General features: G+C 39.1%; 2 protein-coding genes across 9 annotated transcripts in view; one reads left to right on the top strand and one right to left on the bottom strand.

The window, feature by feature from the left end:
• The window catches only part of PMPCB (peptidase, mitochondrial processing subunit beta), a 50,108-nt gene that overhangs the window by 17,306 nt on the left and 20,249 nt on the right, over positions 1-12,553 (bottom strand). The window contains exons 13-14 of one of the 3 annotated variants that reach the window (XM_006716181.5): positions 1,195-1,306; positions 335-952 (exon numbers count right to left, since the gene is read on the bottom strand). In XM_006716181.5, coding sequence (XP_006716244.1) covers positions 949-952; positions 1,195-1,306 — 116 coding nt within the window. In that variant the 3' untranslated portion in view covers positions 335-948. Of the gene's footprint in view, positions 1-334; positions 1,307-12,553 lie in introns of those variants that run through there. The other 2 variants (XM_047421050.1, XM_005250717.4) reach the window with 2 other exon arrangements.
• DNAJC2 (DnaJ heat shock protein family (Hsp40) member C2) overlaps positions 1-12,553 on the top strand; it is a 32,479-nt gene that overhangs the window by 14,531 nt on the left and 5,395 nt on the right. For 2 of the 6 annotated variants that reach the window (NM_001362667.2, NM_014377.3), the window contains exons 4-12: positions 2,483-2,581; positions 3,553-3,694; positions 5,675-5,755; positions 6,574-6,639; positions 7,443-7,534; positions 7,605-7,726; positions 8,156-8,305; positions 10,393-10,481; positions 10,559-10,628. In NM_001362667.2, the coding sequence (NP_001349596.1) occupies positions 2,483-2,581; positions 3,553-3,694; positions 5,675-5,755; positions 6,574-6,639; positions 7,443-7,534; positions 7,605-7,726; positions 8,156-8,305; positions 10,393-10,481; positions 10,559-10,628 (911 nt within the window). Of the gene's footprint in view, positions 1-2,482; positions 2,582-2,858; positions 2,906-3,552; positions 3,695-4,554; positions 4,671-5,674; positions 5,756-6,573; positions 6,640-7,442; positions 7,535-7,604; positions 7,727-8,155; positions 8,306-10,392; positions 10,482-10,558; positions 10,629-12,553 lie in introns of those variants that run through there. The other 4 variants (NM_001362668.2, XM_011516030.3, XM_047420191.1 and 1 more) reach the window with 4 other exon arrangements.

Below are 12,553 nucleotides of genomic sequence, written 5' to 3'. Positions count from 1 at the left end.
CATAGAGTTTCTCTCAGGAATCCAACTTAGGAAGTATATTAATATAGCAAAATTATAGCTCAGATAATATTAAATCCATGTGATTTCCTGAGTAGGTAGTGAAAGCACATAGAATACAGTTTAACACCCATTCCGTTTTGATAAGAATTTTGAAAAGAAATGTAGTTAATTCCCTACTTTGATAACTGTTTCAGGCCCACAGCTAGCAAACTTTTAGCTATGTGGCATTAATGCTATTACCTAAAATCCAGGGGTGAAGCAGCCTGCTTTTTATTTTTTATGCTATTTTGGGAGTTTGGGTCAGTGAGTTAAGTTATTAAATAAGAGACAACTATTGGAAAGAAGGAAATAAATATATTATTTGTAGATAATATAGGATCTGCCTAGAAAAGCAAAAGAGAGTTAAGTGACTAGATGCAAGACAAATAAGCAAAAATTACACAGTTTTTGGAAGTTACGATCAAATATATTAGAAAGCTGTGGTCAGTTTAAAGATAACCCCAGGGCAAGAATAAGTAACCAAAACAAGCCCTTGTAAAATTTACTATTATAGTGTCACAAATCAGTGGAAAAGGGAAGGATTATTAAATGACAGTAAGATTTTGAAAAATGAGAAGTTTAGATACTTTCTTGACTATATTAAAATTCCAAAAAGATTAAAAAATTTTTTCAGTCTATAGGAAATGTTAATGAAACTAGAACTATTGTAAGTACTAGAAGAAATTACAAAAGAAATGATCAGTCAATGTAAATAAAGATGACTGTTTTTGAAACATAAGTGTTAACAAAACGGGGAAAAATTATTAATAAACATAATGAATTAGGAGAGGCAGCATACAGACGCAGGCTGAGGAGTCAGGCTGTCTGGACTAGAGCCGACTTGGCCGGAAGTTTGAGCAAGTTGCAGTGGTAGTGGCTACATAACGTCTCCTCTGTGCCTCATTTTCCTCATCTATGAAATGGAGACAGCAATAGCACTTTCCTCATAGGATCATGGAGAAGATTAACTGGTAAACAGGCCTGGCACATGTCAACTGCTATGTAGATGTTAACAGCTAGCATTATTAATTGTAAGTGACACACAGAGTCAGAAGAAAAACTGAGACAGCCCCTCCTTTTTCCAGTTAAAGGATGAAAAACAAAAAAATTGTTGACCACCAGCGATAATCACAAATTTTAAATAATTAGACGTACTGTGGCTGAGGCTGTGGTAAAAGGATGTTCACGTAGGAGTATGAAATAGTTTGCCTTTTGGAAAATAACTTGTTCCATTTCCATTCATGAAGTTCACTTCTGTGATTATATCCTAAGAAGAAAGAATCCTAAATAAGGAAAAACACTTACATTTAAAATTATTCAAATTGGCATTATTTATAATAATGCAAAATTGGAAATGGCACAAATGTCCAACAGTAGAGAAATGCCTAAATTATAACAAATCTACTTGAAATACTGTATTAAGCAGTCATTTGAAAGAAAAATTTGAAGAGTTTGCAAGGAAAAAACCATGGAAAATGCAAACGCTATAATGTGAAGCTGAAGAAAGCAGAATATAAATTAGTACATACGATTACATCTGAATTGTTTTTTTCTTCTTCTTCTTTTTGACACAGAGTCTCACTCTGTCACCCAGGCTGGAATGCAGTGGCGCCATCTCAGCTCACTGCAGCCTCCACCTCATGGGTTCAAGCGATTCTTATGTCTGAGCCACCTGAGTAGCTGGGACCACAGGCATGCACCACCACGCCCAGCTAGTTTTTGTATTTTTAGTAGAAACCAGGTTTTGCCATATTGGCCAGGCTAGTCTTGAACTCCTGACCTCAAGTGATCCTCCCAGCTCGGCCTCCCAAAGTGCTGGGATTACAAGCATGAGCCACCATGCCCAGCCTACACCTGAATTTTTTAAAGCATATGCTTAAGAAAACAAAAATGTCTATGCAGAAATACACCAAAATGTTAAGAGTCATTGTCGTTGGTTAGGGGCACTTTGGCTAATTCTTAAAATAATTACTTCAAGCCGGGCTCAGTGGCTCACACCTGTAATCCCAGCACTTTCGGAGGCCGAGGCGGGTGGATCACCTGAGGTCAAGAGTTTGAGACCAGCCTGGCCAACATAGTGAAACCTTGTTTCTACTAAAAATACAAAAAAATAGCTGGGCATGGTGGCGGGCACCTGTAACCCCAGTTACTCCAGAGGCTGAGGCAGGAGAATCGCTTGAACCCGGGAGGCGGAGGTTGCAGTGAGCCGAGATCGTGCCATTACACTCCAGCCTGGGCAACAAGAGCAAAACTCTGTCTCAAAAAATAATAAGAAGAAATAAATCAGTTTCTCTATAATTTTCACATTGAATAAGCATATATTTTACTGTGGGAGAAAAGATTCTAATATTAGCCTTATGATTTTAGAAATGGTCTACATGTAGCTCATCTTTATTTTTGGTGCTTAAAGTGACAAATTATCTCAATCTGACTGGTTTTGTAGATAAAGCAATGGTTTTAAAACATCACCCAGACAAACGGAAAGCAGCTGGTGAACCAATAAAAGAAGGAGATAATGACTACTTCACTTGCATAACTAAAGGTAAGAAAATGCTTTAGAGTCAGGAATTTCTAATAGTAATTGTTATTTATTAATTGCTGGGATTGGGTTTCTTATGCATACTGTAGTTCATTCAACTATCCTTTGACATTTTAAAACATTTTAGTTATATCAAGTTCTTTCTAATCATCACCCCAGAGCCTCACGACACAAAGTGAGGTGTCCCCAGCCAGCAGCATCAGCAACACCTGGCAGCTTATTAGAAATGCAGTCTCAGGCCCTGCCCCAAACCTACTGATTAAAATCTGCATTTTAACAGGATCCCCAGGTGATTCTTATCAGAAGCTCATCCTACAGTTAATTCATGTAAGTGTTCTATTTAATGATGAGAATACTAAGATTTTTTTTTTTTTCGTTTCAGATGCTTTATGGGACTAAACTGTTCCTTAGATGTTTTGCTAGCCTAGTTTAAATCAAGAAGTTGATTATATCCTAGTACAGACCCTACAGTTACTTATTGCTATTTACATACACATCACTAAGCAAATTAATGTAGGTTACCACCATTTCTAAATGTTTCCTTAAATGTGATTTTACACTTTGATGCTAATTTTTGAACAGTTGTATGCACACCGTTCATATTTACTCTTTGCCAGTTCTCTTACACAGTGCTCCAGAAGCCTAAGATCCTTCGATCTTTTACAACCTTGGGATCTAACAATTAACTTACTAGCTATTTCTTTTTCCCCAGAGTCATCTTTTCTCTTGAGGGGTGGGTGATATTTATTGTTTTGTCACTTGTCTACTAGAAAAATAAAGAAGGAGTTAAGTCCAGTTATATCCAGTAGTGCTAAAGCTGTTGTTACCTAAATTAAATCCTCCCCAACCTGCAAACAAAATTTTCAAATATGAAAATTAATGACTTCTATGTTTTAAGGAGGGAAATACTTGTTTTCTTGCAGGAAAAAATAGGTAAAGTTATGGTGATGTGATCTTAACAATTTTTTTCTCAGCTTATGAAATGTTATCTGATCCAGTGAAAAGACGAGCATTTAACAGTGTAGATCCTACTTTTGATAACTCAGTTCCTTCTAAAAGTGAAGCAAAGGATAATTTCTTCGAAGTGTTTACCCCAGTGTTTGAAAGGAATTCCAGGTAAGTTAAGGCATCCCTTTTGATCATAGTGCCCTGTTGGCTTGTTTATTGTAGTCTTCCAGGTTTCTGCTCTTTCCCTCTGATAATAGTTTCATTTATAGATTATTTCCACTGTCTCTTCCTCCTCCTCCTCCTTCTCTGCAATATTCAGCCCTTCTGGTGAACTTACTGTTCTCATTTATATTGCTTTCTAAACAGAAGTTCTACATTTCCATAGTAAAATTTCTGTACAATTTATGGGAAGTTTCTCTTTTAAATTTACTTGGGCTGGGCACAGTGGTTCACACCTGTAATCCCAGCACTTTGGAAGGCCGAGGTGGACGGATCACCTGAGGTCAGGAGTTCAAGACCAGCCTGGCCAACATGGTGAAACCCTGTCTCTACTAAAATACAAAAATTAGCTGGCCGTGGAGGTGCATGCCTGTAATCCCAGCTCCTCGGGAGGCGGAGACGGGAGTTTTGCTTGAACCCAGGAGACAGTGGTTGCAGTGAGCCGAGGTCATGCCACTACACTGAGCAAGACTCCATCTCAAAAAAAAAAAATTTTGCTTTGAGAGAAATAACAGTATCTGACTTTTATAGTGTGATTCTTACACTTAGGTGACAGTAATTTTCCATTCTTTGATTTCCTCTTTATCAATCGGTATACTACTCTCTGACTCATTGTCAGTTGAGAAATCCTTTGTTCTTTATTTGATCATCTGATTATCATAAGGCTTCTTTGACAAAACATTATTTATAGTTACGATTAAAGCATACGTATTTTATTTCATTAAAGTTTGTTTTAAAATAGTTATGTACCAATATTATTTTACATCTTTTTTTTCCATCTGCATTGGCAGGTTCCCTTAAAGCACATCTTGGCTGCACATTGGAATTACCTGGAGAACAGGAAGAACTCCTGATGCCTGAGTTCCACCTGGAAAGATTCTGATTTATTGGTTTGAATTTCTGTGGGGATTTTTAAGGCTCCCAGGTGATTCTTCTGTGCAGCCAAATTTGAGAACCACTTTGATTAGCGGTTTGGCGCCACCTAGTATTTCCGCCATCCTTTCTCCCTTGGATTTCACCTGTTTTTTGGTTTTTTTTTTTTCCTTTTTTATTTTGAGACAGTATCTTGCTCTCTTGCCAAGGCTGGAGTGCAGTGGCACAATCTCGGCTCACCGCAACCTCTGCCTCCCAGGTTCAAGCAATTCTCCTGCCTCAGCCTCCTGAGTAGCTGGGACTACAGGCATCTGCCACCACTAATTTGTGTATTTTTAGTAGAGACGGGGTTTCACCATATTGGCCAGACTGGTCTCAAACTCCTGGCCTCAGGTGATCCGCTGGCCTCGGCCTCCCAAAGTGCTGGGATTACAGGCATGAGCCACCGCGCCTGGCCACGTTTGTTTTATAGCAGTGCTGAGGTGGTAAAAAGTAGTAGTATATTTTTCTGTGTAATGATTTCACAGAGTAGAAAACATGGATCAGTAGCTGCTTCAGGATCCTTTTCACCAGTGATCAATGAAGTGCTGAGCCGAGAAATCTGGCTCTAAGGGGAAGGTGGTGGTGGTGATGAGGTGGAAATTAGTTCCCTCTGTGAATATTAACATTTTTAAAGGGCTAGGCCTACAGGTTGTTGTTGTGCTGACTATTTAGGGACAGGAGCTTGGCAAAAGGGGCTAGCTGCCATTTTTTCTAGCCTGCCTAGCAGCTGCTATGGCATTGTATTTTATAGAACTGAAGATAACCTGTGATTAGAAGTCTGTCCCGTTGTTTCTCTCCTCACCCCAGTCTATCTTTGGCCTCACTTTTCGCACACCTGCATTGTTTCATGCCCCACTGCTGACCTTCCAGCTCCATCTTCGAGTTGTAGAGTTTGTAGGGAAGGGAAATCAGAGGAATTAGTAAAAATTATTGTTTTTAATAAATTAAATTGTTTGTTGAACTGTTGTACATAATTTTTGAAGAATTGTAAGAATATTTCCTTTGATATTTCAGATGGTCAAATAAAAAAAATGTTCCTAAACTTGGTGATATGAATTCATCATTTGAAGATGTAGATATATTTTATTCTTTCTGGTAAGTGAATATACTGTTTGTATGATGCTGTCATTTTTTAAAAGGAAAAGTATTCAATAAGTACTTGATTGTTTATAAATTAATTCAGATGGACAAATTGCAGAACCTTCACTGAACAAAAGCACTCTGTTACCTATGTGATATTTACACTTTTAAGATTTTCTATTAATGAGATTTCTAGATATCAAGCACATGATAGTAGTAAAAAATGAAAATTGGGGAGTCATTTGAATAAAAATAAGTACATTTTTATTTAGTTACTTCCTACTAAAAGTACTTGAGTTCATGAGGAAGGAGACAGTGCTATTTGTCTCTGTAACTAATTCACTAATTTTTAATATGCGCAATAGTTAGTGGCCATTTTATATGTGCTACATTTTCTCATCAAATGTCTAGTAAATACAAAAACATAAAATCACATAGAACAAAAATAACAAGATTTAGTTCTATCAGTTGTAATTGCTTTTACCTTCAGAGGATACAAACTGGAGATGAGATAACCACTACTAGGGTTACCTTCAGACTTGACAGACTAGCGAAATTGAAGGCAAGGAAAACTTAAAAATAGGTCTTGGTCAAGCGAAAAACCTAACAAAGAAGAGATAGCAGGGCGGTGTGGTTTTGATTATGGAGTGATATGTGCATTTTAGATTTTCATACCAAATGCAATGTCCTTAAAAAAGGAGAAAGACTTGACCTTAGTTCAATACTAGAAGGGAAGGAAAGGTATCCATTAAAACAAATTCATTCACTTGCATTAAAAAGAATTTTTTTTCATTTATTCTGTCTTGATCATGTATTATTTCTGTCTATATTAGGTATAATTTTGATTCTTGGAGAGAATTTTCTTATTTAGATGAAGAAGAAAAAGAAAAAGCAGAATGGTATGTATGCAAATCATTAATAATGGAAGGTATTTATTTGGTTCTCTGGTATTTGTGATGATGTAAAAATTGTCACGTAAATTTTCTTTCATATTTTCTCTTTGTACATCTTTTTTAAACAATTTTTTAATATTTTGAAATCCTTTCTCACAAGTTAAACTAGGTGGGCCCAGATCAATAATTGGTTAGGATATGCTTAAGAAATTGCCAAGGAATATAATGTCAGATAGCTCAGTTCAGCAAAATCTTTTTCTTCTGGTTGCTTAACCTAGGTTTTATTAATTTTTTTTTTGTATGTGTGCAGAAATGCTTTTGACATGAATGTGCAAAAAATAACCAAAATTAATATTAAATAGAACCACTGTTTAGGCCGGGCGTGCTGGCTCATTCCTGTAATCCTAGCACTTTGGGAGGCTGAGGCGGGCAGATCACCTGAGGTCAGGAGTGCGAGACCAGCCTGGCCAACATGGCGAAACCCTGTCTCTACTAAAAATAGAAAAAGTAGCCAGGCATGGTGACAGGCACCTGTAATTCCAGCTACTCCGGAGGCTGAGGCAGGAGACTCACTTGAACCTGGGAGGCAGAGGTTGCAATGAGCCAAAATCACGCCATTGCACTCCAGCCTGGGCGACAAGAGCAAAAGTCTGTCTCAAAAAAAAAAAAATCATTGTTTAATGTTAGTAATGACACAGCATTTTAACCTCTAGGATGTTATGTACATATAAATATTTTATAAAATATTGCATTTTCCAGTCATAGCATCTATAAGCAGTAGTTTGTTTCCAATATTTTCTATTTTATAGTCGTGATGAGAGGAGATGGATTGAAAAGCAGAACAGAGCAACAAGAGCACAAAGAAAAAAAGAAGAAATGAACAGAATAAGAACATTAGTTGGTAAGTAGAATTGATTTAAGTCCCCTAAATGTTAGAAATTCAAAATGAGATTAACTTTTTCTTTTGCTAGACAATGCATACAGCTGTGATCCAAGGATAAAAAAGTTCAAGGAAGAAGAAAAAGCCAAGAAAGAAGCAGAAAAGAAAGCAAAAGCAGAAGCTAAACGGAAGGAGCAAGAAGCTAAAGAAAAAGTAAGACAACATTTAATGAAGGTGGACTTTAAATGTTTATGAAATCTTTAATCTTCACTTTAATCTTCACATCTTTTTTTAAAAAAAACTATAATTCGAAAGCAGAGAATTGGGTGCTACTGTGAATGAATCATGACCAGTTGGTATAATTGAGAGATCTTCCTTACCAGCACGTTTTTATTGAGCAAAAAATTGTGTCATAAGTTCCTTTAATATTATGCTTATTTCTAATATGTCAATTTTACATTTTCTAATAAATGTTTATAGATCTTTACCAGCTGTCTTTCCGAGTTCATCCTTCAGTTTTCAATAAGTTTATGTTGCCTTTTTTCCTAATATAATTTATTAAAAGTTTAAATTTTTAAAATTATAAAACATTTAGGAATTTTACTGTACCTATTAAAATGATTTTACTCCCTTTTTTTAAAGCAAAGACAAGCTGAATTAGAAGCTGCTCGGTTAGCTAAGGAGAAAGAAGAGGAGGAAGTCAGACAGCAAGCATTGCTGGCAAAGAAGGAAAAAGATATCCAGAAAAAAGCCATTAAGAAGGAAAGGCAAAAACTTCGAAACTCATGCAAGGTATATCAGACTGAACAAACACTAGGCACAAGTAAATCAAGTTGCTTATTAAGCAAAAATACTTCTTTTTGTTTGTTTGTTTTTTAGATGGGGTCTCGCTCTGTCGCCCAGGCTGGAGTGCAGTGGCGCGATCTCAGTTCACCGCAATTTCCGCCTCCGGGTTCGAGCGATTCTCCTGCCTCAGCCTCCCGAGTAGCTGGGATTACAGGCGTGTGCCACCACGCCTGGCTAATTTTTTGTATTTTTAGTAGAGACAGGGTTTCGCCATGTTGGCAAAGCTGGTCTTGTACTCCTGACCTCAAGTGATCTCCCCGCCTTGGCCTCCCAAAGTGCTGGGACTACAGGCATGAGCCACTGCACCCAGCCAAAATATTTCTTGAAAAAAAAAAATTATTTTTATTTATTTATTTATTTGAGATGGAGTCTCGCACTGTCACCTGGTCTGGAGTGCAATGGCACGATTTTGGCTCACTGCAACCCCCGCCTCCTGGGTTCAAGCAACTCTCCTGCCTCAGCCTCCTGAGTAGATGGGATTACAGGTGCCTGCCACCACGCCTGGCTAATTTTTTGTATTTTTAGTTGAGACAGAGTTTCACTGTGTTGGCCAGGCTGGTCTTGAACTCCTGACCTCATGATCCACCCATCTCAGCCTTCCAAAGTGTTGGGATTACAGGCATGAGCCACCTGTGCCCAGCCAAAAAAACTTTTTCTAATTAAGTTTTTGTTATTGTTGTTGTTGAGGCAGGGTCTCAGTCACTCAGGCTGGAGTGCAGTGGCGCCATCTCGGCTCACTGCAACCTTCACCTCCCAAGTTCAAGCCATTCTCATGCCTTGGCCACCCAAGTAGCTGGGATTACAGGTGCATACCACCACACCCAGCTAATTTTTGTATTTTTAGTAGAGACGGGGTTTCACCATGTTGGCCAGGCTGGTCTCAAACTCCTGGCCTCAAGTGATCCCCCTGCCTTGGACTCCCAAAGTGCTAGGATTATAGGCATGAGCCACTGCACCTGGCCAAGCATAAATGTATTTCTTTTCTTTACTATGCAAATGTAACTAAACAAGACAGAGTCTCCATCTCAAAAAAAAAAAAAAAAAAAAGACATGCTGAGATAACTGAAGATATGAATATAGACACAGTTTCAGAATATATATATATATATATATATGTGTATATATATATATTTTGTGACAGAGTCTTGCTCTGTCGCCCAGGCTGGAGTACAGTGGCGCAATCTCCGCTCACTGCAAGCTCCGCCTCCTGGGTTCACGCCATGCTCCTGCCTCAGCCTCCCGAGTAGCTGGGACCACGCCCGGCTAATTTTTTGGATTTTTAGTAGAGACGGGGTTTCACTGTGTTAGCCAGGATGGTCTCGATCTCCTGACCTCACGATCCGCCTGCCTCGGCCTCCCAAAGTGCTGGGACAGTTTTAGAATATTAACTTGTTTTTTGGTTTGATAATGGTAAGATGATTATGTTTAGAAAAAAACTATCAGGGTTGAAAACTGAAATATGTACACCTGAAATTTAGAAAAAGTTAAAAACAGCCGGGCGCGGTGGCTCACACCTGTAACCAGCACTTTGGGAGGCTGAGGCGGGTGGATCACAAGGTCAGGAGTTCAAGACCAGCCTGGCCAAAATGGTGAAACCCCGTCTCTACTAAATATAGAAAAAATTAGCCAGGTGTGGTGGCAGGCGCCTGTAATTCCAGCTACTCAGGAGACTGAGGCAGAAGAATAGCTTGAACCCGGGAGGTGGAGGTTGCAGTGAGCCGATTTCGTGCCACTGGACTCCAGCCTGGGCGACAGTGAGACTCCGTCTCAAAGAAAAGAAAAAGTTAAAAACATTTACACTGAGATAAAATTATACCTGTTCAGTTGTCATTGTCTGTTTTTTTGAGATGGAGTCTTGCTCTGTTGTCCAGGCTGGAGTGCAGTGGCGTGATCTCAGTTTGCTGCAATTTCCGCCTCCAGGTTCAAGCGATTCTCCTGCCTCAGCCTCCCGAGTAGCTGGGATTACAGCTTTGTAATTATGTTGATGGATGTATTTTTGAGTGTAGATACTATTTTTGTGTTTGTGCTTTTAGACCTGGAATCATTTTTCTGATAATGAGGCAGAGCGGGTTAAAATGATGGAAGAAGTGGAAAAACTTTGTGATCGGCTTGAACTGGCAAGGTATACCTATGGAACTGCTATTGAAGTCTTCACTTGAGCTTAGGATAAAGTTTCATTTCTTCTTTTTTTTTCTTTAGCTTACAGTGCTTGAATGAAACACTCACATCATGCACAAAAGAAGTAGGAAAGGCTGCTTTGGAAAAACAGGTAATAGAGGAACACATCACTCCTACCTATATGTAGCATTTAATTCTGCTTTGACCTGTTTCTTCACCTAATATATAAGTCACCAAGTGCAGGGAGTATCTGATTTCTCTTTATGTTTCCCACTGTTTTGTTGTTGTTGTTTTATGTGTTCGGTTTTTTGGTTTTTTGTTTTGAGACAGAGTCTTGCTCTGTTGCCCAGGCTGGAGTGCAGTGGCACGATCTTGGCTCACTACAACCTCCGCCTCCCGGGTTCAAGTGATTCTCCTGCCTCAGCCTCCTGAGTAACTGGGATTATAGGCGCACAACACCACACCTGGCTAATTTTTGTATTTTTGGTAGAGACAGGGTTTCACCATGTTGGTCAGGCTGGTCTTGAATTCTTGACCTCATGATCTGCCCATGTAGGCTTCTCAAAGTGCTGGGATTATAGGTGTGAACCACCACGCCCAGCCTGTTTTTGTTTTTGTTTTTGAGATGGAGTCTCTCTCTGTCACCCAGGCTGGAGTGCGGGTGGGATTACAGGTGTGTGCCACCATGCCCGGCTGATTTTTGTATTTTTACTAGAGACAGGGTTTCGCTGTGTTGGCCAGGCTGGTCTCAAACTCCTTACCTCAAGTGATCCGTCCGCATTGGCCTCCCAAAGGATTATAGGCATGAGCCACCATGCCCAGTCTGCATTTTGTTTATGTAGTAAGGTGCTGTTGTTGATTTAAGTTGGATTAGATGTTTATGGTTTTTACCATACTTAGTGTTTGATTTGTGGTATCTATCACAAGCATAGCTTTTGCAAAATCATATTAGAAAAAAATAATTGTTTTGATTATTCCTTGAGTATTTTCATAGGGTAATAACAGTTAGAACCAAAAGAGATCTTTGTTCTGTCTAGTCTATACCTTTTATTTTACAGATAAGAAAACAGGCCCAGAAATTCAATTCAATTCAACAAGTATTAGTACCTACTATATATAGCACTATGCCTAGGTTCTTTTGGAGAAATGCCTAATGCTGTTGCACCACAAAGGACATGCTGAGAAGAACCTGAGAAGAACCTTAAGGACCAAAAGATGGAGAGCCCATAGTAAATGAGGTGTAGGATAGGAAGGGCCACAAGTTTTAGTGACCAGGGAAGGCTCAGTGTAGTTTGAACCAGCCTGAAAGGAAGGACAGAGTTAAAATGAAGGTCAGAAGAATACCACAAACTATAAAATAGAAGTAGAAGTATAAAGTATGGTTCAGCCTGGGCAACATAAACAAAATCTCTACCGAAAATACAAAAATTAACTGGCATGGTGTCGTGTACCTGTAGTCCCAACTTCTCAGGAGGCTGAGGTTAGAGGATTACCTGAGCCTGGGAGGTCACAGCTGCAGTGAGCTATGATCATGTCGGTGCACTCCAACCTGGGCAACAGAGCGAGACTTTGTCTCAAAAAAAACAGACAAAAAAAAAATGTTATGGGGAAATGGAGTGGGAAACAAAATCAGTTAGGAAAAGCAGAACCAATGATCAGGTTTTTAATACCTTGTTGACTAGTTTCCATTACTGCAAATCTTTGATTAACAGAAGGTTCAACATTGTACTACTAATCTGACGTTTGTGGATAAGGTGCATCAGATAGATGTAACTAGTTACAAGAATCTTATTTATTTAAGAATCTGCACTATGAGCGTGGTGGCTCATGCCTATAATCCGAGCACTTTGGGAGGCCAAGGCAGACAGATCCCCTGAGGTCAGGAGTTTGAGACTAGCCTGGCCAACATGATGAAACCCCATCTCTGCTAAAAATACAAAAATTAGCTGGGCATGGTGGCAGGCATCTGTAATCCCAGCTACTTGGGAGGCTGAGGCAGGAGAATCACTTCAACCTAGGAGGCGGAGGTTGCAGTAAGCAGAAATCACACCACTGCACTCCAGCCTGGGCGACAGA

This window comes from Homo sapiens, chromosome 7 (assembly GCF_000001405.40).
Source record: "Homo sapiens chromosome 7, GRCh38.p14 Primary Assembly".
Taxonomy (NCBI): Eukaryota; Metazoa; Chordata; class Mammalia; order Primates; family Hominidae; genus Homo; species Homo sapiens.
Note: the sequence above shows the minus strand (reverse complement) of the source record. Positions and strands in the feature narration are given on the sequence as shown.